Source organism: Homo sapiens, chromosome 14, assembly GCF_000001405.40.
Source record: "Homo sapiens chromosome 14, GRCh38.p14 Primary Assembly".
Taxonomy (NCBI): domain Eukaryota; kingdom Metazoa; phylum Chordata; class Mammalia; order Primates; family Hominidae; genus Homo; species Homo sapiens.
In genome coordinates, this window is record NC_000014.9 from 95,651,437 (window position 1) to 95,673,591 (window position 22,155).

The 22,155-nt window shown below is 46.3% G+C and overlaps 1 protein-coding gene and 1 long non-coding RNA gene across 3 annotated transcripts, besides 3 other annotated features; both read left to right on the plus strand.

Moving 5' to 3' along the window:
* Positions 1–660: 660 nt before the first annotated feature.
* On the plus strand, positions 661–22,016 carry TCL6 (T cell leukemia/lymphoma 6). 2 transcript variants are annotated; one of them, NR_028288.2, is made up of 8 exons: positions 661–790; positions 941–1,053; positions 3,073–3,190; positions 11,044–11,228; positions 18,115–18,181; positions 19,006–19,141; positions 19,895–20,051; positions 20,535–22,016. It is a non-coding gene; the product is annotated as a T cell leukemia/lymphoma 6 (long non-coding RNA). The 2 variants fall into 2 exon arrangements; NR_152604.1 differs by lacking the exons at positions 11,044–11,228; positions 20,535–22,016 and adding exons at positions 11,820–12,199; positions 20,241–20,411.
* Positions 11,835–11,914: an enhancer, noted in NCBI's record as "active region_8968". NCBI's record gives its function as "activates an Ori minimal core promoter by ATAC-STARR-seq in GM12878 lymphoblastoid cells {active_cell/tissue: GM12878}" and the evidence as "EXISTENCE:reporter gene assay evidence [ECO:0000049][PMID:35858748]".
* Positions 13,377–18,978, plus strand: LOC124903372 (uncharacterized). The gene is made up of 2 exons (XM_047432042.1): positions 13,377–13,640; positions 16,690–18,978. The coding sequence occupies exons 1-2, from the start codon at positions 13,587–13,589 to the stop codon at positions 17,059–17,061; spliced, it is 426 nt and encodes a 141-aa protein (XP_047287998.1). The 5' UTR covers positions 13,377–13,586; the 3' UTR covers positions 17,062–18,978.
* Positions 13,984–14,631: an enhancer, noted in NCBI's record as "H3K4me1 hESC enhancer chr14:96131757-96132404 (GRCh37/hg19 assembly coordinates)". NCBI's record gives its function as "activates a minimal SCP1, AML or CMV promoter by ChIP-STARR-seq in naive H9 embryonic stem cells {active_cell/tissue: H9 hESC(naive)}" and the evidence as "EXISTENCE:reporter gene assay evidence [ECO:0000049][PMID:30033119]".
* Positions 15,278–15,924: an enhancer, noted in NCBI's record as "H3K4me1 hESC enhancer chr14:96133051-96133697 (GRCh37/hg19 assembly coordinates)". NCBI's record gives its function as "activates a minimal SCP1, AML or CMV promoter by ChIP-STARR-seq in naive H9 embryonic stem cells {active_cell/tissue: H9 hESC(naive)}" and the evidence as "EXISTENCE:reporter gene assay evidence [ECO:0000049][PMID:30033119]".
* Positions 22,017–22,155: the final 139 nt, after the last annotated feature.

A 22,155-nucleotide genomic window follows, 5' to 3' on the forward strand; every position in this document is an offset into this window, starting at 1 on the left:
CTGGATTTTATTCCAGATTCAACCCTCAGCAGGGAGTTGAAGTGGTCAGCCCTGTGCTTTACAAGGCTGATTGGGCAGCACCCATAGTAGAATTGTCAATATAAAGTAATTGAAAGGATCAGAATCCAGGGTTTTCGTTGTTTTTAAGTTTTTAAGTTTTAAAAACAAAGTTGTTTTTGTTCGTTTTTAAGTTTACTTCTCTTTAATCGGTCTCACTTTATTGACCAGGCTGGTTTCGAACTCCTGGGCTTAAGTGATTTCTCCTGTCTCAGCTTCTCAAAGTGCTGGGATTACAGGCGTGAGCCGCTGCACCCAGCCCAGAATCCAGTTTTAAAGAGTTTATTCAAGCCAAAAGCTGGGAATGGCCATCTGAGAAACACAGACTCTAGGAAAATGGGGCCAGGGCCCTGAAGTTAAAAGTTAAAGTCTTGCTTACATAGGCAGAAAGCAAAGACATTTAGTAACCTTGTAGAACATTTTCTTGTATAACTTTTCTTGTTTTAACTTTCTTGTTTAACATTTTCTATGCAAGGCTGGTTTATGAGTTACAACCTATAATTAATTATAGGTTGTTCCCCTGCCTCCACCTTGTTTTCTTTTCTCTACAGCTTGTTTTCATTTCCTTTCCAATTTAAGAATGTGTTTAACATTCTATCCCAGACAATGTGATGGTCATGAAGTCTCTGTCAGAGAGGAAAGAGGGAGTTAATCTATAATGAAGATCAACAGTGAAGAGGAAAGGGGTCTTCCCTGGAACGCTTCAGTCATATACGACATTTTACACAACAATGTAAGTAAGGAAAAAGGCTAATCTATAATCAGAGAAACAAAGGTTGCAGCTGCCTGTTTACATGACTCAGGTCCCATGATCAAATTCCCTTAAGGCTCGAAATATTTTAAAGTTCCAACAGCTTAGATTTTGAATTGCTTATTTTCACAGAATGGACCTGTGTAAGGAGGTATGTGTGGGAGAAGATTCCAGAAGGTCTTGAGACACTCCAGATGAAGGTTGGTGTGGGGCTGTGCTGCTGGAGCACCAGAGAGTGAAAAGAGGCAAGCGATTTATAGTCTCATCAAATATCGACAAGTTTGGGTTTTCCTTTAGAGTTGGGCAGGGCCTGGCTGGACTTCTTTCTCCACCAGTCTCCGGGAGGCTCAAACAAGTTCTGATTTTCAGGTTCTGAAAAAGCTCTCAGGGAAAAAGCAGCTTCCATTCTGTTTTTTTTCCCTTTCTGCATTCTACTTCCCTTTTATTTTTGGCCTGGTAATTTCTGTCTTATCAGCTTTTAGATGTCCTTGAGATTTTTCTTTTCTTTCATTTTTTTTTTTTTGAGACAGGGTGTAAACCAAAAACTCTTTTATTCTTTTTTTTTTTCTTTTGAGACAGGATGTAAACCAAAAATAAAATTCTAAGCCCCGCCCTCCCTGCAACCATCTGAATGGACTTCCTCCTGGGCCAGGGTACTTTTAACCTGAAAGACTGGTTCAGGCCATGATGGAAAGTAGAGGTCAGACAGGACTCATTATACCTCTCTGATGAGAAGCATTTACAATCTATTTTCTCTGAAGCCTGCTACCCGGAGGCTTCATCTGCATGGTAAAACTTTGGTCTCCACAACCTCCTATCACAGCACAGACATTTTCTTTCTATTGAGCCCAGATCTTTAGATAAACTTAACCAATTGTCAACCAGTCAATTTTAAATCTACCTGTAACCTGGGAGCCCCCAACCTCCACCCAACAATTCAAGTTGTCCCACCTTTCTGGACAGAACCAATGTATTTCTTAAATGTATTTGATTGACATCTCATGTCTCCCTAAAATGTATAAAACCAAGCTGCACCCCGACCACCTTGGGCATAGTTCTCAGGATCTCCTGAGGGCTGTGTTACAGGCCATGGTCACTCATATTTGGCTCAGAATAAATCTCTTCAAATATTTTACAGAGCTTGACTGTTTTTATTTGTTAATGATCTCACTCTATCGTCCAGGCTGGAGTGCAGTGGTGCAATCATGGATTACTGCAGCCTCTACCTCCCTGGGCTCACATGATCCTCCCTTCTCAGCCTCCCAAGTAGCTGAGACTACACACATGCGCCACCATGCCTGGTTAATTTTAAAACTTTTTGTATAGATGGAGGTCTTACTGTGTTGCCCAGGCTGGTCTCAAACTTCTGGCCTCAAGTGATCCTACCACCACAGCCTCCCAAATTGGTGGGATTACAGGGATACGATTTTTATTTTATTTTTATAGAGATGGGGGTCACAGTATGATGCCCTGGCTGGTATTGAACTCCTGTGTTCAAGCAATACCCCTGCCTTAGCCTCTCAAAGTTCTGGGATTACAGGTGGGAGCCACCATGCCCAGCCTGGGAGAAGACTTTTAAAACATATTTTGTTTAGGCCAGTCATGGTGTTGAGGTCAGGAGTTCAAGACCAGGCTGGCCAACATGGCGAAACTGTGTCTCTACTAAAAAATATAAAAAACTTAGCCAGGCGTGGTGGCAGGTACCTGTAGTCCCAGCTACTTGGGAGGATGAGGAAGGAGAATTGCTTGAACCCAGGAGGTGGAGGTTGCAGTGAGTCAAGATCATGCCACTGCACTTCAGCCTGGGTGACAGAGTGAGACTCTGTCTCAAAAAAACAAAAGCAAATCATGTTTTGTTGAGTTTGTTTAGCTGTGTATTCACAAGTTGATTGGCATCTCTCAGCCCATCCCAACCCCACCCCGGAATGCTCTTCCCAGGCTTCCTAACAGGTATTCTCCTTTACCTGGATTGCATTTGTAGAAAACACTCTGCTTCAGTGGGAGGCAAGGAACAGAATATTTCTCTGTCTAGGGCATACTCTTCCATGTTATCTGATTCCAATTCTATGGGACCTATTTTACCATTCTGAAAGCTACAGATAACCGATAGAAATGAAAAATAATTCTTGTCTATGGATATGCAAATGCTTATATTTTGAAGAGAGACAACCCTTCCTCACTTCCCCCCAAATCCCCTAGTTTGCTTCCATTTTACACATTCATTTCAATATTTCTCTTCTCTTCCTTCTTTTCTTTTTTTTTAGGTTATCTCCCTCTGTGCCAGGCCAGAGTGCAGTGGTGCAATCACGGCTCACTGTAGTCTCAACCTCCTGGGCTCAAGAGATCCTCCCACTTCAGCCTCCCAAGCAGCTAAGACTACAGGCACGTGTCATCATATCTGGCAAATTAAAAAAAAAATTATAGAGATGGGCTCTCCCTGTGTTTCCCTGGTTGGTCTCAAACTCCTGGGCTCAAGTGATCCTCCCATCTTGGCCTCCCAACTTACTGGGATTACAGGCATTTGCCACTGTGCCCAGCCCATTTCAATATTTCTGATCAATAAATGTGCCTGTCCTTCAGATTCTCCTTTGAATTGGCTGTCACACCTCTTCAGTTTCTTCACTGAGGAGTTAAACATAATCTTGAGCAGCACGTGATATTGTTTAGCTCTGTGTCCCCACCAAATCTCATCTTGAATCGTAATCCCCCTGTGTGTCAAGGGATGGACCTGGTAGGGGATGATTGGATCATGGGGGGTGGTTTTCCCCATGGTGTTCCCATATAGTGAATGAGTTCTCACGAGATCTGATGGTTTAAAAGTGTTTGGCAGTTCCCCCTTCTCTCTCTCTCTCTCTCTCTCTCTCTCTCTCTCTCTCTCTCTGGCCACTTTGTGAAAAAGGTGCTCGCTTTTCCTTCGCTTTCTGCCATGATTGTAAGTTTCCTGAGGTCTCCCCAGCGATGTGGAACTGTGAGTTAATTAAACCTCTTTCCTTTATAAATTACCCAGTTTCAGGTAGTTCTTTATAGCAGTGTGCAAATGGACTGTTACAGCACATATTCATTTTTATATCTATATTGAGTTATCATTTAACCTGTTTTTGAAAATTATCTTTTAACATGCATTTTTCTCTTTCTTATTATCTTCTTTTGCTAAAACCTGTTCTCCAGTAGCTTCCTAAGAAAGGGTGCACAGGAGACCCATTTTTTGAGCCCCTCCTTATCTGACAATGTTTTTGTTTGACCCTAACCTTTGATTAATAATGCGACTGGATGTTGAACTTGTGAAAGGAAAATAAAAACTCAGGACCCCAATTCAGTATGCCAAAAGGAAAAAAAAAAAAGAAGCTGAAAGCTGAGTCATGCAAGAAACTGCCTTTTCTTTTGCTCCTAAGTAGATGGCTACAGATAAAAGATTAAATATCTCCACAGGTAGCTACTCCATGTTCACCTTATCTTATGTAAAGTGCTGATTTACTGAGCAGGAGACAGATATGTAACTGACTATTCCCTAGCTGCTCTTCTCCTCTTGCAATGTGTGGATTACCATACCCTTCCTCTATCCCCTCCAGAGATGAATTTTTCCATGTCTGTTTCCCCCATTTAAATATTGAAGCCCTCACTATCATCTTTGGAGAAAGGGACAGATCATAGACTTGTTTCTGTGATTCTGTGTCCTTTTCTTCCAGGCATGTCCTTAACCTTGGCAAAATAAACTTCTAAATGGATTGAGACCTGTCTCAGATATTTTTTGGTTCACAAACTCTAGGGTGGGAAATATTTCCCCTCAGAACTTTGAAGGCATTGCCCCCTCATCTTCTAGCACTCAACATGGCCATTGAGATTTGATGGCATTTTAAATTCCAACATGTTTATTAATGAGACCAGTTTTTTCTCACTAGAAGTTACACATAAAATACTTAAAATAGTTCCTGGAATTTAATGAACTGAATTAATGTTAGCTATTACTATCATTGAACTATTTTTTTTCTCTGACATTCTTTAATATTTTAATTTTTTTTTCTAAAAGACAGGGTCTCACTCTTTTGCCCTGGCTGGAGTGCAGTGGTGCAATCCTAGCTCACTGCAGCCTCGAATTCCTGGGCCTAAGTGATCCTCCTATCTCAGCCTCCTGAGTATCTGGGGCAACAGGCATGTGCAACTATGGCTGGCTAATTTTTAAATTTTTTGTAGAGATGTGATCTCGCTATATTGCCCAGGCTGGTCTCAAATTCCTGGCCTCAAGCAATCTTTCTAGATTATAGGACTTCTTGGCTTCCACAATTGCATGAGCCAATCCTTTATAATAAATGTATATCCATCTGTATATGTCTTGTGTCTGTCTCTCTACCTATCAATCTATCCATCCATCCATCCATCCATCCATCCATCCATCCATCCATCTATCCATCCATCTATCTATTTTATTGTTTCTGTTTTTCTGGAGAACCCTGACTAATACAGAAGGTGAGCCCAACTTCTCACTGAGGATTCTCAAGCCTCAGCCTCTTGAAGTGCTGAGATTACAGGCATGAGCCACCGCATTCAGCCTCTGATTGTCATTGACAGTGATGTGCTCTACTGTGAGTCTCTTTTACCCACTGTGCTGGGTATTCACTGGCCCTTTCAACTTGGAAACGCGTGTCCTTTGGCTTTGCAAAAATATCTGTAGCATTGATTGCCTGATTTCTCTCCCTCTGATCAGGGCCTCTGCAGCATCCGACTCCAGGGCACTGTTCACCCCATATTCTATGAATGGCGTCCTCTGGAGTTGTGCTGTTGCACCTGCACCTTTTATTTATTTATTTTGGAACACATTGGAGTAAGATGCCAGACTGCCTTGATCCTCTAATTATCTTATCTCTTTCTTCTTATTTTCTATCTTTTTGTCTTTTCATTCTACTTTCCTCAGCTCTTGGTTGAAGAATTTTTCATTCTGCTTATGCCTTAAAAATATCTAAGAGCTTTTTTTTGTTCCCTTTTTTTAAAAGCGTTCCATTGTTGTTTGATGTGTGGGCTCTCCTGTTTTCTTTCTGAGCATATTATATCTAATTTTTGAAGGTTGTATTTTCTCCCTTGTTTTAATTTTCTGCAGATACTTTTTTCTTTTTTACTTTCCCCAATTTGTTTGTTTCTGACTTTCTTCCTCAATCTCTCCTGAACCATTGTTTCTTTTTAAGATCAGAGCAGATTCTTAGGAACTTTTAAAACTGTATGTGGGTGGGATTGTCACCTAGAGTGCTTTTTTGGAGAGTAATTGGATGGTGTGATAATTAATTTTATGTGTCAATTTGACAGGGTCTTGGGGTGTCCAGTTATTTGGTTAAACATTATTTCTGGGTGTGCCTAAGAGGGTGTTTCCTGATGAGATTAGCATTTGAATGGATGGACTGAATAAAGCAAGCTGCCCTCCTCAATGTGGGCGGGCACCATACCCTTGAAGGCTTGAATAGAACAGAAAGGCAGGAGAATTTCTCTCTTGGCCTGAACACTTGAGCTGGAACGTTGGTCTTCTCTTCTCTGTGGACTGGGACTTACACCATCGGCTCTCCTGAGTCTCCAGCTTAAAGACGGCAGATCATGGGACTTCTTGGCCTCCACAATTACATGAGCCAATTCTTTATAACAAATCTATATCCATCAGTCTATGTCTTCTGTCTATCTACCTATCAGTCTATCAACCAGTCCAGCCATCCATCTGTCATCTATCTATCTTACTGGTTCTGTTTTTCTGGAGAACCCTGACTAGCAAAGATGATGAGCCCAACTTCTTGTTGGGGATCCCCAGATATCAGCGGGCAGAGTGTCTCCTTTTGGCACCTTCAGTTTCTCCAGAAATGAACCTTTCCATTTCCATCCTAAGGGATTGCAAGAGCTGTGGACTTGCCAGGAGGGAAGGGAGCAGAGGCCCCCACAGTTCACAATGTAATGTTTCCCTTAAACACAGCCCCCACTTTCAGCTGGGAACCCACCCTTTCCTTGCCGGTGCTTTGTGTCCTCAAGACTGGACATAAGGTGTTGAGGTGTGGTGTGTGGTTTCACCACACAATCATTTGGGGTCTCCTGAGAGAGGTGGGGGGAGGGGTGTGGTCTGCTTGAGCAGGTGAGGGAAATGGATTGGGGTGCTAGCTGGTAACTGTATACTGACTTTCTTTTGTAGAGGCAGGGTCTCATTCTGTTGCCCAAGTTGGAGCGTAGAGTCATGATAACAGCTCAGTGCAGCCTCGAACTCCTAGGCTCAAGCAATCTACCTGCCTCAGCCTCCTAAGTGGCTGGGACCACAGGCATACACCACCATGCCCAGCTAATTTATTTTTTGTAGAGATGGGGTCTCCTATGTTGACCAGGTTGGTCTTGAACTCCTGGGCTCATGTGATCCTCCTGCCTCAGCCTCCCAAAGTGTTGGGATTGCAGGCGTGAGCCACGGTGCCCAGCCAGTATACTGACTTTCAGTCAACCTCATGCTTTCAGTGCCAGTTCTTCTTGGTGCCTGATGATTGCAAACCCAGGATTTATTGGAGAGTCTCTGTTCTTGATGCCCACCCTGCCCCTCCACTTTCCCACACCCCCTTCACCTTTACCATACACTGTCCTCAACTCTTCTGAGGCTGCTCCCAAGTGTTGGGTGCTTTGATCCTGTCTGCCATTGCCTGAGCTCCTGTTCTCTCCATCCCTGTGGGTCAACAGCTTTTATTTAGTTCATTCCCTTACTATCATTTTCATAGAGTTGAGGAGGTAGGGAGGAGATAGAGGCAGGAAGTTATTCTACCACATTTGTCCAGAGTCTGCCCTGTTTGGGGGCATCAGTGGGCAGAGCTGGAAAGCCATGGTGGCTGCTGAGATTTGGAAGTACAAGACCAGGAGGAAGGAAGGAGGATGCTTAGGTATGGGGCTCAGGTGTGGGGTTCAGGTAGCCCGTGCATGGTGAGGAAAGGGAACAAATGAGAAGAGTGTGGTAGATGGTGGTGTGTTCTATCTATTTTGATGGTGGGTCAAAAGAGGGAGGTGAGGAATGGGTTGAGAGGATTTGGCCCCACTTTGAATGCAGGGCGAGGGGAAACCAGCATCTCAGATGTGCCTCAGTTTGTGCAGGGCTAAGTGGGACCCAGAGCAGGAGGGGCAGACTTGGACGGGAGGCCAGTGACTCTGGAGTTTGCAGTGAATATGCAGGGTCCTGGGTGTGATGCTTGGGTTGTTTATCTGGCCTAGGGGAAGCGACCAGAAGGCACGTGCCTCCAGTCCAGCCAGGCTGCAGGTGTTAAAAATCTCTGCAGTCACATTTTCTGGCTTCTCTGAACAGCCCCTGTAGGTGCTCACACATGTACACATGCATGCATATATATTTATATATATATACATTTACATATTTATATATATTTAAATATATTTAAATATTTAAATATATTTTTATATATATTTATATTTTATATATGTGTATGCATACACATGCACACAGATGTACACACACATATGCACATACACATATGCACACACACACCCTACAACTCAGACCTTTCCTTTCAGAGCTACCCCTGACCGAGACTTCCTTGCCATGTTACAAATGAGCATCTCTTTTAGAGTAGTGTAATAGAACGTGGCACTTCTTGATAAAAATAGAATTCTTTGACTTCTGCCCAGGCTGCCTGGTGGGCAGGCTCACAGCCTCGTTCTTTCTCAGCTTTCCACGTTATTAATTTTTAGTGCCAAAAGACAGTTCTGCTGCTCCAGGCCTCCAGCTGAGCTCTGCTAGGTTGGAAGTCCCTTCTCAGCCTGATTCCCATTAGCACAGAGCTTGGAGAAGACCCTTCCTCACTCTGATCCTGCTGTCTGGAGCTGGCAGATGCACTCCTCACCCAGCAGCCAAGACCCATGCTCCTGGTTTAGAAGGGTCCGTCCTGACAGCTATCTCCACTAGGCAGCCCAGGGTTCCTCTGGACACAGGACCCTGCCAATTTATTAGTCACGGTGGCACCGGATAGACACAGCTTCACCCAGTGATCTGCCGGCACTGCTCTCTCTTCCTCCAGTCCTGGGCTTCTTCATGTCCAAACCACGTGGAGAACAAGATAACTAGGATCAGCTCTTTTGGAGATAGAAGTCACCTTCCAGCCTGGGATCAGTGGCATAGTCTCAGCCCAGGTCTGGAGACAGGGAGGCTGCCATGCCTGCCAGCCCCATCCAGCCCCAGCTGGCAGCAGTGTGAAATAGTGCTCGCTAAAATGAGCCTGCTGTTTGCCTAGATGTGTGTTTCCCAATAATTCAGAGACCTAGATAATGGGAAAGGCGAACATCTCGTATCCCCCACTTCCCTCAGCAAAAAGAGAACAGTGCCGCAGCCACAGGCAAGGTGGGTTAGAAAACCTGTCTGCTGGCAGATTATTGTCTGTAACTTGCCTCCTTAGTTCTTCCAACACTCTCTCCTTCCCCCTCCTCCCCTCCCATGGTCCAACCCTGAGGGTTCCAGCAGCAGCTGGGAGGTCTCCGATGTTATCTCAGAGCTCCCAATCTGCTGACATTTGAAAATCTTCTGGCTATAACTTGCTCACTTAGCGGCTGCTGCTCTGCAGCCCTGAGCCCTCCTAAAGGAGACCCTACACAGAAGAGTACAATGTAAACAGCCGTCGCCAGAGTCCCCCCAGCCAGAGATAGCCCTTGGGTACATTTTGCAATATTTTGTTTTGTTTGCTCTCAGACCGGACTTGCCCCCCTTTTTAGCACAGCCCAATTCTACTACGTATACTCCCTCCTTGTTCTTTTTGTTTGGCATTATATCCTAAGCATTTCCCTGCATCATCCAAGCTCTGTGGGATGTCATTTTTAACACCCACACAGCGTCCTCTGGTGTGGTTGTATGACAAGTCACTTAACTATTCCACACCCAAAGCCTCCCCTTTTCCAAACTCTTCCCTGGGACCTCCTGAAGGTAACAGCAAGATCTGAGCAGCGCTGGATGGATCCTGCTCTCAGTCCCCTGTCTGGGAACAACGCTGAGCCTTAACAGGGATGTCAGCTTCCTAGGGCTGCTGTAACAAATCCCACAAACTGAGTGCCTTCAAACATTGTCTGGTAGTTCTGGAGGTCAAAGGTGCAGAACGAGTTTCACTGGGCTGAAACCAAGGTAGGGCTGTGCTCTCTCCTGAGGCTTTAGGGGAGAATCTGCTTCCTGAACTTTTCTAGCTTGGAGAGCTGCATTCCTTGGCCCTTCGTCCCCCTTGCTTCTCTTCCAAGCCAGTAGTGTAGCATCCTCAGATCTCCCTCTGCTTTCGTCTTCACGTTGCCTTTCCTTTTCTGCAGTCAGATGTCCCTCTGTCCCTCTTATAAGGACATTTGTGATGACATTTAGGGCCTATGTGGGCGATCCAGGATCATCTGTAGATCTAGAACTTAAACTTTTTTTTTTTTTTTTTTTTTTTTAGATGTGGTCTCACTCTGTCACCCAGGCTGGAGTGCAGTAGCACCATTTCGGTTCACTGCAACTTCTGCCTCCTGGGTTCAAGCGATTCTCCTGTCTCAGCCTCCCAAGTGGCTGGGATTACAGGTGTGCACCACCATCTCCAGCTAACTTTTTTGTATTTTTAGTAGAGACAGGGTTTTGCCATGTAGGCCAGGCTGGTCTCGAACTGTTGACCTCAGGTGATCTGCCTTGGCCTCCCAAAGCGTTGGGATTACAGGCGTAAGCCACCGCGTCCGGCCACATTATTCTTATTTGCAAAACAAATACTTATCTGGCATCAAACAGATACTTTGCATCCGGCAAAAACAGGTGGAGGTGACTGAAGGCGAATGTGGGAGGTCATGGTGGGTTAATGATCGCCAGCGCTGTCCGGTGAAATCAACCACCTGTGACAAAGGTGGTTTTTCACTTTTACTGAACAAGCATGCTATTCTACAGTAAACTCCTTAACAAATGTAGCTTTTCAAGGTCCTTAGGACTATTACCTTTCAATATTATTGGGAAGTTCTTTGCTCTTCTTAGCAGACTGCGAAACTCAACTTTGTGATGACAAGATACAGAATAAATGCATATTAACTGAAATTCTAGGCTCACACCTATGTGAGCTTTTCTCTCTCTAACAAGATGTCAGGGCCGGTTCAGGGAGTTCATCTCCAGCCACCTGTGCTAATCATCGCCCATCCTTTCCAAGTATCTAATGACACTCCCAACCAAGGTCTCTATAATTTCCAGCCAAAAATGAGTTACAACATATGGAACATCTAATTTTCTGTTTCCATTCTAGTTATTTTATTCTTATGAGCTTGTGGGCTCCATCTACCAACCTCTGGGCAAATGCTCATCTGACTTCCATAGACACACAGCAAGCAGACAACCACACAAAGAGGAAGAGGGAGAATATTTACCAGCCATGGAACATCTGCTCTGTGCTTATATCTCATATGCATTATCTCTAATTATCAAAAGAAGGTATTATTATTATTATTGTTCCGCATTCACAGATGACAAACTGAAGATCAGATTGGTTAAATACTTGTCCAACATTAACTTAGCATTTGGGCATCATAGTTGGAATTAAAACTTGGGTCTGCTCATCTCCAAAAACACCCTAAGCCTTACCACACTCATGGGACACAGCTGCAGCTGCAGGTTCTGAAAGGAAAACTAAAACTTCAGAACCCAGTTCACTATGCCAAAAAGGCAAAAAAAAAAAAAAAAAAAAAAAGCCAAAAGCTGAGTCATGCAAGAAGCTGACTTTCCTTTTGCTCCTAAGTAGATAGCTACAGATAAAAGGTTAAATAGCTCCACAGGTAGCTACTGTATGTTCACCTTATCTTACGTAAACTGCTGATTTATTGAGCATGAGACAAATACGTAATTGACTATCCCCTACCTACTCCGTTTCCTTTGCAACATGTGGATTCAGTCATGTGACCATACACTGCCTTTCTCCTCTCCAGCCTACTTTTCCACTTTAAATATCAAAGCCCTCAAAATCATCTTTGGAGAAAGGCACAGACTAGCGACTGTTTCTGTGATTTCGTGTCTTTTTACTTCCAGACATGTCCTTAACCTTGGCACAACAAATCTCTAAATCGATTGAGACCTGTCTCAGATACTTCTTGGTTTACAAGATGGAGGCTGAAATTAAAGAGAAAGATCCTCACTCAACTCACAGAGGAGCAGAATGGGAAGAGGACTTAGTGAGAATTCCCTGAACACAGGAGAAAACCGAAGCCCAGAGAGTGGATGGCCAAGTCCAAGGTCACACAGCCAAGTGCATCCGAGCAGCGCAGGATCCAGGTTTCCTGCCCCAGTGCTCTTTCTGCAGCCCATGCCACCTGTTTTCATGCTATCTCAGTTCACCTTCCAGCTACACACCTGCAATCAGAAACAGAAAGTCTGAGAGTGTGTGTGGAGCCAAAGAGGGGACAGCAGTGGTGAGGCCAGTTTCATGTCTTGTGATTTATTTTCTCCCTTTCTTTTTGGACTTTAATCTTAAGTGGACAGCAATTTGGAACAGTGTCAGCACCTTGTTGGATTGTGCTGTTTGGGAGAGGTGACACAGAGTATTTTAAAAGAGCAGGTTAAGAACTTTTCACAAGGAATCAATTGAGAGAAAATAAAATAGAAACAGACTGTCCCACATTTGGGCTGAGCACCAAACACATTTTTTTTTTTTTTTTTGAGACTGAGTCTTGCTCTGTCACTCAGGCTGGAATGCAGTGGCGCGATCTCGGCTCACTGCAGCCTTCACCTCCCGGGTTCAAGTGATTCTTCTGCCTCAGCCTCCCAAGTAGCTGGGATTACAGGTGCCCACCACCATGCCAGGCTAATTTTTGTATTTTTAGTAGAGACGAGGTTTCACCATGTTGGCCAGGCTGGTCTTGAACTCCTGACCAAGTGATCCACCTGCTTCGGCCTCCCAAAGTGCTGGGATTACAGGCACGAGCCACCGCACCTGGCCTCAAACAAGCTTTTTAATTGCATTCAGAAGTGCACCAACTAGGCACAGACCTCTGGCATGGAGACAGAATGGGAGGTTCTTGGTGTCTGGCCTGGTCTTGCAGAAATCAGGGAGTTGTGGGGACCAGGCAGCCACTGTGCATCAGATAGGAGTTTCAGCAGCAGGCAACAGAAAGCCTGCCAATGTAGCTGAAATAAGAAGGGCTTATTTTTATCCCTGAACAGAAGCTTCCAGCACTGGTTCATCAGATCAGGGCACTGAGCTGGCATCCCCATTTATACAGTTTTCCTTTCCTTCACCTTTGTAAGATGCCTGGCACAGCTCTGAGCATCAAATATCTGTGCCATGTGGGAGCACACGAGGGGACAAGTGGGGAATAGGGTCTCCTCTGTCCTCTGTCCCCAGGCTGGCTTCTCTCGTGGTAGAAGGACCCCCACAGCACCAGGCCTCATAACTACCCTGCTGGTAAACTGCAGGTGCTGTCACGGCTTCCTGCCTTCGTATATGAAATGTTCCTTGGCAGCTGGACTGCTGTTTGTTTACCGCACGCACAGCTCTGCTGCCTCTTGGTTACACCAGTGAGCTATTGCTCCATGACAAGCCACACCGAAATGTAGCAAGCACTTATTGTTGCCCACATGTGTCAAGTCAGTTGAGTGTTTCTGCCAACCGGGGCCTGGCTTGGCCCACCTTGGCTGAGCTTGCTCTGGTGCTAGGGTCAGCTAGACAGGTCGGCAGGAGACCAGCTGCTCTAGAAGAGCCTGGACAGGATGAATTGGTTCTCCTTCCACGTGCATCTTGCATCCCTCCAGCCAAGGATTTGAACCCAGGTCTCGTCTGACTCCAAATGCACCAAGAGGATGGAGCCCAGAGTGACACAGAGGAAGAGGCCCCTGGATGGATGCATGGGGAAGGTGAGGCCTGGAGGTGATATGCTTGAGATTACCAGGCTCTTCTGAACCTGGGGGACCTTCTCCTATGATAGCCCTGCTCCTCCAGACCCAGCAGGTGATTTCCCCAAAAGCCGCTTACAGTGAACGCACCTGATAGCAATAACTTAAGCATCCCCTGAGAATGACCCTTATGGCAGGTGCAGGTGAATGTGGTTTGGAGTTCTGAGCTAAGGAATCTGGGAGTGGCCAACCTGGAGATTCATTCCTATTCCTTATCTATGAGGAACATCTGAGCTCCTGTCCCGTCCTGTGCAACACGGACAGTACAGGGGATCAAGGCCCTTTGTTTTGGGTTAGGTAAATGTTGCCAGGTGGACACTGTTGGGGGAGGGTGCTAAGTGAAGATGCTATATATGCTGCAAGCTTTTTGTAAGTTGTGTGGCTCTCCTGCCCAGCCCACCACTGCTAGATGCTCTCCCCTGCATGTAAGCCCCAGTAAAACTCCATGTCTCCTTCAGCAGCCCTGGGTCCTTTCTTCAGCCTCTCAAACCTGCTGCCATCCCCATTGGAGTAGATAGGGGTTCAGCATAACAGCAGCCACCAGCTGGGGAAAGGCGTGGCATTTGGAGCTCCCTACATGGTCTTGACTCTAATATGGAGGGAAAGAAAACAGATTCTGCCCTGCTCAGTAAAGCCCCCTACTGGCCTCCCACCCTGGACTGTGGACAAAGCTTTTTTTTTTTTTTGAGACGGAGTCTCACTGTGTCCCCCAGGCTGGAGTGCAGTGGCGTGATCTCAGCTCACTGCAAGCTCCGCCTCCCCGGTTCACGCCATTCTCCTGCCTCAGGCTCCCGAGTAGCTGGGGCTACAGGCGCCTGCCACTACACCCGGCTAATTTTTTTTTTTTTTTTCATTTTTAGTGGAGACGGGGTTTCATCGTGTTAGCCAGGATGGTCTCGATCTCCTACCTCGTGATCTGCCCACCTCGGCCTCCCAAAGTGCTGGGATTACAGGCGTGAGCCACTGCGCCCGGCCAACAAAGCATATTTTTTTCCTCTGAGGTCTTTACCCTATAACTGCAAGTGGTTTCATGACACTGCACATGGGTTCTTATCTGGGGTTGGTAGATTCAACTCAATTCCACAGGTTTACTGGGTGTTGCCTCCCATGCTTGGAGCCAGGAGGATGCAGGGAAATGGGGCTGCCACCATACCCGCTCTTCTTATGATCCCATCACATCATTGCACCCTTTGGGGCCTGGCACCATGCTCTGGCACTTTGCCTCCATCATCTCCTTTAACCTCTGAGCTCTGTCAGGAAGGCATTACTACTATCCCTGGAATACAGACAGGAAAACTGAGTTGGATTGAGGCTCAGAGAGGTTAAGTCACTTACCCAAGGTCACAAAGCTAGAGAGTGGCAGGCCAGCATCCAAGGCCAGCAACACGAGCTCCCTCTGATCCAAATGGTGACTCTATGTTTGATCAGTGCTCTGAGAACTCTCCAAAGATCTTTATCAACTGTCATCTCTTCATTGCCCAGGCCCAGTCAGGGAGCCACTTGGCTGCGGTCCCGCTGAGATTTAGGGGCAGGACCCCTGATGTGAGGTGGAATGCTTGGTCACGCTGTTCAAGCCTCCACCAGTCACTCCTGACTGGTTATGGACACTCAATGTGCCCCGTCCTGTGTGCAATGCAGTGTGGGAAGGGGATCAAGGACCTTGGCTAATCCCAGGCATTTCCCCAGAATGTCCCAGGTGTGGACCCCTTGGGAGGTGCTGGGAAGCAGGCTGGTGTCCCACAGGCCTTGGTTCCATCCCAGCTGTGCTGTGCTAAGCTGAAACTCTTTGGGCAGCTTGTTTCACCTCATGAGACTTCTTTTTCTGAACTGTTAAATGGGATGATTCGACCTCTGCTTGGCTTTTGGTGACGATTAAACGAGATATTAGCTGTAAAGCATTTCATCCCGGGTCTGGTATAGAAGAAGCACTTGATAAATGAAAGCTCTGTTGAGTATGATGATCCGTCACCCCAGGCATCAGTGGGATCTCACAGCAGGAACAATGCCTAACTCCTAACTGATGCCCAGTAAACATCGGGTGGATGCAATGTCCAACAAGACAGATATTCATGTTCAGTTTTACAGAAAAGGAGACAGAGGCCAGAAAAGGAAGAAAGTGCCCAGGTCAGCCGGCTAGTAAGAGGCAGAGTTGAAATTTGAACCGGGTTCTGGCTGGCTGCAGCTCCACTGCTCCACTACTGCACTGTCTGAGAGCCAAAAGGCACCTTGTAGTCAGGCAGGCAGGGAGCTGGCTTCTTGCTGTCCTGCTGGATCCTGCCCTAGTGTGGCCCTCCCTGGAACCAGGGGTGGGGCTGGAGGGCAGGGCACTGAGAGAGAGCTCCTGGGAACTGTACCATCTGCACAAAGGGCACCTGCTGGGCACTCTGCTGAAAGCTGTCTGCAAACACCACTTCCTGCCTGCCTCCCTGGGGGCTCTAAGCTCAGGAGGGGGTGAGGGCCCATGTCTGCACGTGGTGAGGCCCCTGCTGGGTATTGTACCACACCTTCATTGTGCTCAGGGTGGCCAGTGGAGGCCCTTCCCAGACTCGAGCTCTGGTCACAAGCCCAACCCCCTCCTTGCTCCTGTCTGGGCTCACCTGGAATCTCCTGCCTCACTCTGTGGCCAGAGGCACCTTTGGAAGCCCAGGTCACCCCTACTACTCATGCCCCTCATTTGGAAATTTTCATAATCTACCTCTTGTTAATGATTCCATCCCATCTATAATGCTTTTCTATTTTTCTGAATTTTTCCCCGATAGGCTATAACTGCTGCAAAGATAGAGAATTGCAATGATTAATATGCATTTATGTATTTCCAAAAAGTTACCAGAATATCAAACTCATGATTTTGTCTATAGTTTGGTTAGATTCAAGCTATTTTTATATCATAAAACAACTTAAAATTTTTTTATTTTTAATTTTTGTGGGTGCAGAGTGATGTATTTATGGGGTACCCGAGATGTTAGAATGAAGCTATTAAATGTGAGTGTGAACGTTCACCTTTTTGCAGATCACGGGAATTACAAGTGACATCCTGAAGTATGATCACAAATGTTTCAAATTAAGCCTTCCTGCTAAGTTTCCAGAGGTGTGTGGCTCGGACGAAGTGTTTCCAGACCCTGATCTACTGCATGTCCTGCCTGTTGCTGGTTCTTTGCAGCAGTCCATTGACCAATGCTGTCTACAGCTTGAGAGCCTCTGCAGGCCAGGGCTGCTCTGTGCACATCCTACGTTACTATTCAAACTGCACAGCAGCATGAAAAACAGGCCCTTCTTTTCTCTCATTTACACATATGTGAAGAAGACACAGCAAGTGAGAAAACGTGACCGAAAGCCACGCGGACAGGTGGCCGCAGGGCCAAACCCAACTTCCGTGATGTGATCTGGCTACAGTTTGGAGCCCACATATTTCAATAGTTATCCCCAGGCCTGGCACGTCAAAGAGGCTCCAGAAATGTTTGCTGAGTGAGTGATGAATCAGCAATTTCTGATTTTCTCCTAAACTTAGAGAATAAGTGGCTTGTCTGCAGTCACCCAGGGCGTCCCTGACAGAGGTACAAGTAAAGCCCAGATCTCTGCATCTCTGGTTCAAGGCCTTTTGTACTACACACCGCTGTCTCTTTGTCATCATTAAAAGCAAGGCTCAAGGGACATGTTTTCTAGCCTTAGTTCCCCATCTACAAAATGGGCCTCATGGAATGGAATGTCTCCACTTCACTCCAGCATCAACAAGTGGGGAATTCTGATGGATTCAATTCGACTTCTTTCCATGGGCGTGTTCTAAGCAGCCTCTTTGTTCCAGAAGCTGCCCTCAGCCAGAGTTGGATAAGCCAATCCTCACTCCCCAGCCTCCTCTGGATAGGGATGAAGACCCCACTGGGGTTGGAAGTGCAGAGGCAGACAGGTGTATGGAGTCACCTGTAAATTGATTCAAGTGAGCCAGGAAAGCAGCAAAGGAAAGAGAAACCTGAGTGACGACGTGGTGGAGGAACAGGGCTGGAAAGAGGCTGCTGGCTGTCTGGCTTCGCAGCTCTGGCCTCCTAATCAGCCTCGCTCTTGTCTCTGGTGTTCTCTGGCTCTTGTCCATCTGTCTGTGTTTCTTTTTGCCAGCTATTGACTAATCTTTGCTGAAGCTGAGCTAGAATTCTGGTGTTTATAAGCAGGTAACTAGCTGAGCACTAGTTGATAACTTTGGAGTTAGTGGATAACCACAGGGCTGGGCTACTAAGCTTTTTCAGTTGAAAAATAAATAAATAAATAAATAAACACCACACCCAGCTAATTTTTGTATTTTTAGTAGAGACAGGGTTTCACCGTGTTAGCCAGGATGGACTCCATCTCCTGACCTCGTGATCCGCCTACCTCGGCCTCCCAAAGTGCTGGGATTACAGGCGTGAGCCACCACGCCCGGTCACCTTTGTCCTGTTTTCTACAGGTTAGAAGCAAGGCACAAGTCATACCTACATTCAAGGAGAGGGGACCATGCAAAGGATAAACTGCAGGTGAAGAACTTGAGAGCTATTTTAGAAGCTGCCTTCCACACTTTACAATCTACTTTGCAGCTATACTGAGCTCTTAGCAACTCCCTGGGCCTGCTGAGCACCTCTTGCCTTTCTGCCTTTGCGTATGCTGTTCCCTCTGCCTGGAATTCCATGTCTTCTGCCTTTGCCCACCTCATCTTAAGGCCTCTGCTTAGATGCAATTTCTTTGGGCTCTTATTAGCAGCATCCAAATCTGTGCTGGTTTCTTCTCACGCTTACTCTGCATCATAATTTTTCTGTTTACTCGTTAATCCCCTCCCACTCCTGCCAGTACCTAAAGTAAAATCTACACGGGCTTGGCACATTGTGGATGCTCAATGAAGATTTGTTAAATGAGTGAATGATTAAATGAAATAAGCCCCAGCTTGGAACCCAGAGCTGTAATTTCCGGTTGTGGTCCCTGTCCCCTGCCCAGGGGCTGTCTAAGGGCTCATCTCTCCCAGGAGCCCCTGTATCATCTCAGTAACTAGACCAGTACCATATCCGACTTCCCCTGACTTTGAAATAATTTTCACCTGCAATCAGGTGCGCTTCCCTAGAACCTCTCTCGCTGTTCTTTGCCTTTCTCCTTCCCCCGCCTTGTATCTCCGTGGTCCTGCCAAAAATCAGAAGCTCATTATTAAACCAGAAGCTTCCTTGCATTATCCCAGAGACTACAGACAGAAAATATTTGCTTCTATCTCAACTGAGGACTGACATAGTAAAGACTCCTTGAGATGTTAGCTGTCAAGGAGGGGAATAAAAGTTTTTCATCTGCATGAGTAATTGTTTCCTGTTTTATCCAGAGAGACAACAGATTTACATCCCAGACACATTCACACTGGGCCAAGAGCAGCTGCCATTGCAGATTCGAGTCACGTCCTTTTTTCCTTCCTTCTCCTTCTTGGAGTTACAACAGAAGCTGGGGAGGTGAGAGTGCAGGTGAGAGAGGAGGGGGGCTCTGGAACATGTAGCCTGTGAGGAGGGAAATCAGGATGGTGCTTGGGTGGAGGTGGGAGCTGGGCCAGGGTCTTGGCTGGTCAGGAAGGCTGGTGAAGCATGTACTGGGGAGGCAGAGGTCCTGCTTTCTTTCCTCTCTTTCCTTCACACCTACCTCAACCCACTGTCGAGTCCTATCAGCTCTGAAATAGATCCTTCCTCCAGCGCCTTCTCACCTCTCTCTCCACCATTCCAGTCCATGCCGCCTCATCTCTTACTGGGACTTTCACAACAGCCTCCCGAGTGGTCTTGGCTTCTGCTCGCAAATCCTGCAGTGCCTTCTCTGCGGAGCCACAAGCTGGATCTTTTTAATCCGCTCTCGGTTTCTCACAGCCCTTGGAATGAAACCTTGGCCTACAGCCCTGTGTGACTTGCTGCCTGTCCTTACCTCCTAACCTCATCTAATATCCCCTTCCCCTCCTCGTACCGGCCTTTCTGTTTCTCAGACACTCCAGGCTTGTTCTGCTCTTGGACCTTCACGCTGTCTTTCTGTCTCCTGGGAATCTGTGCCCCCTCTGCCAGATCATGCAGCTGGCTCTCTCTGCCCAAATACCCTCTTCCGAGGGGTCTTCCTTGGCCCTGTGTCTGACATAGGTACCCTCCTCCATCACTCCAGCCCATTACAGTGCCATAACACTTTTATTGCCATCTAGAGTAACATCAGTTGGTTTTGTTTATCATCTGCCACCCTGCTAGAAAGGACGTGGATGAAGCAGAGAGGCACGTGCCTGTCTCATTCGCCTCTGGATCTGCTGCATCCAGGACTGTGCCAGCACAAAGTGGGAGCCCGATAAATATTTATTGAAGAAATGAAAGGTGACAAAAGGCAGAAGGAGGGAGACCCCAAAAAGAGGTAAATTTGGTATCTTAGCAAGTGGGTGACTACCACTGTCTGGGGGAAAGCTGATACACGAGGACTTGACAATAATTACAGCAGTAACAATCGCTACTATTTTGTTTTGAGATGAATTTTAGTTTCTGAAATTGTCCAAAGCACTTTTATCAATAGAAACTTGTTACACATCCCTCCAACAGGGAGAAGCAGCACAGGAAGCTGCCCCCTCAAACACTAAAGGCTCCTGGAGCTATTCACAGTGCTGGGGAACAACCAGAGGAGGAGGAGGACAGAGGGAGAGAATACTTTTTTTAAAAATCCCAAACAAAACCAAATTCTATACATGTATATCTCGAGTGAGTAAATGTGTAACACTCAGCAGTCTCCTACACTTGCCAGGTTTTGTGGCTTCATGCAGTAATATAAAATGTGCTTCACAAAGCTAGGAGTTGGCACAGAATATAGGGTTCTGATTCATATTTTAGTTTTACTTTTTTGTAGAGATGGGATCCCACTATATTGCACAGGCTGGTCTCAAACTCCTGAGCTCAAGCGATCCTCCTGCCTTGGCCTCCCACGGTGCTGAGACTACAGGTGTGAGCCACCACTCCCAGCCTGATTTATATTTTATAAAGAGGCAACGATGGAGTACACAGCTGAGCAATCTCTTGCATTTCTGGACCTTGAGCATCAGGAAGCTTAGGGAGGGTGAAAACTCAGAAGAAAGCTCAGAGTTGAGACCTTTGATTTTTTGCCCAGAGAGTCCAGCTAACACACTTTATAACCCAAAAGGCCTTACAAATATTTCAGAGCAGAGGCAGCATTTTTGCACTGGATAAACAAAGGTACGGTAATTTCTTCATAGTTTATTTTCATTACAAGTAATTCTTTTCCTGAAGAAAAATTTATATTTCAGATTTATTTCCCCTCTCAAAGGGGAGGGGAGTTATAATATTCTGTTTCCATAGCACCATTCCTCAAGATCAAACCCAGGCAGGCATTTTTACAGCACACACTTCCATATGTCATTGCTAATCCTCGCAACCTTGAGGAAACTGAGGTGCAAAGGGGTTGAGGAATGTGTTCACCATCCCAAAGCCAACGAAGTGCCAGAACCCAAATCCAAGCTTGGCTGTCTCATCCCCAAGGACGTACTCTTTATGCCGTTCCTTATGACTTTTCATGCAGCAGGTGCAAGGCAGCAAGAATTTGGCTCTTCTGACATTTATCAGGCACCTGGTATGTGCCAGGCCTACTGTAAACCCCAAGATGACATGGTCCATGTCTATCCATTCAGCATCAGAGAGACTGTTATCAGGACTTGAGGCCTGAGACACAGCCCTGAATCAGATGCAGGCCTCTGGTGTTTGCAAAGGATGCGTGAGTATGTGTATGTGTATGCGTGCATTGTGTGTAGGGGTGTGTGTATGTTGGGGGTTGGGGGCAGAAAATGCTCCCTGAACTGTTGGTATTAAGGCAGATCTTTGATGGAGGGACTGGGGTGTGGAGACTTGAACCCTAGTTTCAAAGTGGGGACCTCGAACACTAGTATGGCCAGCAGACAGGCTGGAGTTGCTGAATTGTCAGCTAGGTCTTTAATCCACTCCCCTTCTCTAAATCAGGGTGGAATTGGACTCAGGGCTGGTTCAGGGCTGAGGTTTCCGGGGGATGAATGATTCCAGACAGTGGGAAGGGGTGATGGATGATGAACCTGGCAAGTCACAGGACTATGGACTTGGCTGTATGTTGCATGTATGTGTAAGATCTGAGTTGAGACCTTTGATTTTTGCCCAGAAAGTCCAGCTAACATACTATATAAGCCAGTGAGACCAGCCAGTGTCTGTTCATTGCCTCTGCCTTGCCCCTATGCCTGCCCGCCTCCTATAGCAGGTCCCTATAGCATAATGAAAATGCGAACAACCTTTTCTCTGGACACTGGGGAATCTAGTCTGGTGGATAAAGATGGATGGCTGTTAAACGATCACATCTTGGGCTCTGTGTGTTCAGTGAAGCCTCATTTACCAGATCTCTCTGATGAGAAAGGTGAATGGTGGGGACAAAATACATGCTGTTATCAGAAGTCTGGCGGGGGCCCTGTGCAGTGGCAAGCACCTGTAGTCAC